The 4,635-nt window shown below is 36.3% G+C and overlaps 1 annotated feature.

Annotated features, from left to right (window-relative positions):
- Positions 3,613-4,121: an enhancer, noted in NCBI's record as "NANOG hESC enhancer chr3:102058061-102058569 (GRCh37/hg19 assembly coordinates)". NCBI's record gives its function as "activates a minimal SCP1, AML or CMV promoter by ChIP-STARR-seq in primed H9 embryonic stem cells {active_cell/tissue: H9 hESC(primed)}" and the evidence as "EXISTENCE:reporter gene assay evidence [ECO:0000049][PMID:30033119]".

Below are 4,635 nucleotides of genomic sequence, written 5' to 3'. Positions count from 1 at the left end.
GCAAGGACAAAACTTTGAAAAACCCAAAATTTCACGTTTGGAAGTAACAGATTGACTATTATTATCTCCTTTCTTTACCAAGACCCCAGTAAATAAAGCCATAGGAATAAAAAAGGTATAAATACCCATCCATAGATTAGGGCTATGGGAGGAAAGAATAGAGAATGCATTCCAAGAAATATCTAGAACATGAGGACTGCACACAGGTATATAACTGAGGAAGGAGGACAGAAAAAATGTAACCTAAAGCATTCACAGAAGGGCACACAGGTGAGGGAAAATCACTTTCTCTGCAGAATCCCAAGAGGCTTACCACTCAGAAATGTCAAGTACTTAGGAAGACTGAAAACTGCGAGATAAACTGAAATTTAGTATATGCAAGTTTGACTTGACATCTGAGGATCAAAACTCACTAGCTAAGCGTCTTGCCCTGAGCAATGTATCAAAATGTTCTTCCTGAAAAAACCGAAATGCCTCAGAGATATCTTGGCACATGCAAAATCCCACAGCATAATGATCAGATCTCCATTCAACCCTCTGAAATAAGGCCACCAATGGAAAAATCTAATTCACCTACAATGGACTAGTACCCATCTTTTATTGTATCATTTATAAATAGAAACAGACAATCAAAAGTTACCAAACTTTTAAGGCAAACTTACAATATAAAAGATAGAGAAAGAGAGAGAGAGATAAGCCAATAAGAAAAAAATTACTCCAGAGGAAGAAGTTACCAAACTTTTAAGGAAAACTTACAATACAAAACAGAGATAGAGAGATAAGCCAGTAGGGAAAAAATTACTCCAGAGGAAAAAGAGAGCTAATTCAGAGAACAGGCACAAACAAAATCAATATATAATTCTAAAAAGTACTAATTAGTATCTCCAGACAGATAAGAGAAGACAATTATAAAAACAAATAACATGAAAAAGGTATATCATTTCTCAGAAATAAAAAAATGCAATCACCCAAATTATAAATTCATCAATAAGGTAACAATAAAGTTTTATTTAATACAGAAATCTCCCTGAAATCAAACAATAAGCAAATGAGATATAAGATATAATCTTTTCTGATGAGCAATACAGAGGATTAATCCAGAAAGAATAATATCCAATTAAAAGAATTTCAGGGAGAAAAGATTGGGAAAAAAAGGAGAGAAAGTTATTACAGAAACAATATTTAGAACTGAAGGCCCTATCAAGGGCCCTGCAAAATGAATGAAAATGGAGCCAAACCCAGACAAATTTAAGTGAAATATTAGAACACCAAGTATAAAGAGAGTATTTAAAGGAATCCAGAGGAAAAACAGACCATCAACAAAGAAGTAGCAAGGAAATTACAGCAGCGTTTTCAACAGCCATGCTGAATGCTAGAAAGCCATTGTTTCAAAGCAATGCCTTCAAAGTTGTAAGGAAAAATGATTTGTAGTTAGACCCCTACACCTATCCAAATTACTGGTTAGATAAAAGAGCAGAATGGAGATACTTTAAAACTCAAACAATGTACCTCCCTATCACCTTTTCATAGAAAGTTACTTAAAATGTGACTTCTGCAAAAGGAGAAAGTAAACCAAGAAAGAAGACAAGAAAATAGAGGATCTAACTTGGAAAAAAAAAAATAGAGAAGAAAAACCTACATGGCAGTCATGAAGCTTATCTAGAGTTCCATGGTACAGAGTGGAGAAGGGCAAAAGAGGACTCCAGGATCATGGTAAAATGTGGAAGTGAACTACCAGATATAATGAGAATTTGAGAAAACTGAAACTGTGAAAAAAGAATGTAAGTGAAATAAAAGGTAATGGTGAGCTGCAGGAAACAAAACAAAAACCACACAGGAAAAGAAACATTAAAATAGTATATTGTTTTTCAATAAAAATATTTCTATAATCATAGCAATATATTTATACCATTCATCAATTGGACTAAAAGTAGCAGTGAGCAGGATATAGGACTATGTAGTGCCGGCCTATCAGGGAATTAATGACACTATTTAGATTAATAAAGAAAGATACATTTTATTGGCATATTAATAAAAGATATGGGAGTATCTAACAGAATAAATAAGTGAAAACATAAAAAGTATTGTTTCTGGATAATGGATCTAAAATAAGGGAGTGAATAAGCAGAGTCAGTAACTTTTTGCTGTAATTTTTTACATACTTCTTAGGCCATCGGCATGTGCTGCATTTTTATTACAAAATTACCTTTTTCTCCCCAAAGGCTTTGTATTTTAAACCTTCACTTAATCATGTAAAAAAACGAAAAATGATTATTATCCTGCCCTACCCTTTCCCACTTCTTTGGCACCAATTATCATTTGGAAAGCCACCCATCAAGCTCTCAGTTCCTGTGGCTTCAGTGGAATTGACTCCACTTTCTTTTACATACTTTCATCACTCTTTTATAAGTTAAGAACATTTTTTAAAATAATAGCAACAGAAATTCCAAAGAAAAAAATTTAGGTAAGACAAGAGCTGAGAGAGGTAATGATAAGCCTAGTGAATCTCAAGTGCAGGCATGAGGGAGTCAGAAACCACATTTCTGAAAAGAATAGTCACATTGGGGACAAAGAATGAGGATGACCAACAGCAACACTGAACTTTGCGTGAACACTGTGATCCTGGGAAACAGCGACTGTTAAATCTCTCCATGGAAACCACCTTATTATAAAGAAATATCCTTCCCCACATGACTTATGCAAGACTCATAGATGCCCCTTCTTGTCTACGTATGACAAGATCAGACGCAGAAGCTCCAAATTCCTCTTCCTGTTCTTGGCCTTATGAATGATTAGTTGACTGTTTTGTCCCCATTGGTTAACTTCTCTCCTTCTTCCAGGCCCCTGGCCATTGATCCAGCCTCAGTCTGGGCCAGCATAGAGCCCTTCCCAAAAGCATATTGACCTTGGTGTAAAACATTCACTTGTCTTGTGGCTTTTCACAGCCACTCACTCATCCTATTTCCTCACATCTAGTTCTTGTTATTCCTTGTTTATTCCTCCCTCTAAAAGACAAGGCTTATCTGACCAACCTTTCAGATGCTTGCCGATCTCATGGCCCAAGCATTCTCCCTATTGCAATAGTGTCCCTTCCACTGTTGCAAAGGTCTCTTTCCCCCTCTTGCAATAAAGTATCTCCTTACTTAAGTCTAGATTTGTTTTTATTTGATATTGATTAAAAGTTCAAAAAGTAAACACAAACATTAGAGAGAGGGTAAGGAAAAAAATCTAAAAGAAGGCAAAGAAAGACGACAGAATTCTTCAGAGGACTTGGAATCAATTGGCACCCAGGTTGATGAGTAGGGGAGGGAGGGAAGGTTGTGAAGTCATTGAGATTTCAGCTGATGTCAGAAAAAAGCAAGTGTCCAAATAGAACAAAAACCTTCTTGAACTCCTTGATACAAAGTAGGACCAGAGATAATGACTCACCCCAGGATGGGAATGAGGACGGCCAGGCAGTGGTCAAAGGAGGAGCAAGGCCAGGCCCTACTGGAGAGACCTCCAGTCTACAGATGAGTGAGGACAGGTGGCAGCTGGAAGACTTTGTGCTGAATATTAAAGCAACACCACTGAAAAAGCCAAAATCCAAACTGTCAGCCCTGTTGATCATAATAACTGTCAATCCCCTCCTTTGAGGCAGGCATCACAACCGCAACCTTAATGAGAGCCTCAACGTGTGTGGAATCTGAAGGTGTACAGGAGTCATAAGGAAGAACACCTTTTAGGCTGCAATCCTTCTGATCTTACTACTCAGTAAAAGTGGTGAAGCCTTAGGCATAAAAAACTAAGCTTTCCCTAGTGCTCATTAAACATTGTTAGGGCAGCTCTGCAGGGGAGTTTCTGATCCTTTGCCCTGAAGCACTAACTCAAGAAAGAAGGGGAAGCAGGGGCCTATCTTTTAATTACTTGCATTTGCAACTATCAAAGCAAATTCATGATTGTCATCCTTAGCAGAACCTTGCAGTAGAATCTTTATTTTCAGATCTGGAGAATTAGCCTAAAGCAGGATTCTCAGCCAGTAAGTAGGGAGGGATGCTATCTTGGTATTATGCAGAAGTAGAGTGCTTGATTTTCATAATATAGCTAACAATTTACAATAAAATGCAGCTATTTCATGCCCCTATGTCCTTTCTGTCATTTTATGTCCTTAAAGTGTATTACAAATGATAAATGTTAAAAAAAATCTGTTCATTACCGGTTATTTACTTTTAAAAATTTAGAAACAACCAATTCGGGATTGGTTTAAAAATTTATAGTATATCCATAAACTACAGAAGATACTTACATATTGACATGGAAGGATAGCTGCAATATGTTGTTGAGAATAAAAAAGCAAGTTACAGTATATCACACATACACACAGAGAGATATATTCCAAAAGAAGAGATACAAAACCATTAATTCTAGCTCCCTCTAGGAAGCCAAATTATGGGATAGTGAGGGGTAAGAGTCTGGGTTTTCAATTTTTTTGTGTCATGCACTTCAGTATTTTTTTACAGTAACTTTGGCTACTTTTATAATTCAAAACCATCAATTTCGATGAAAAAAAATAAATGTCAATCAACAGACAAATGTTTTCTGAAAATATGCCCAGTTTGTTTCCAACATGGCTATCCTTTCACAGAACATATGAAA

Source organism: Homo sapiens, chromosome 3 (assembly GCF_000001405.40).
Source record: "Homo sapiens chromosome 3, GRCh38.p14 Primary Assembly".
In the NCBI taxonomy this organism is placed as follows: domain Eukaryota; kingdom Metazoa; phylum Chordata; class Mammalia; order Primates; family Hominidae; genus Homo; species Homo sapiens.
The sequence above is the reverse complement of the archived record's forward strand: the minus strand, read 5'-3'. Positions and strand labels throughout refer to the sequence as shown.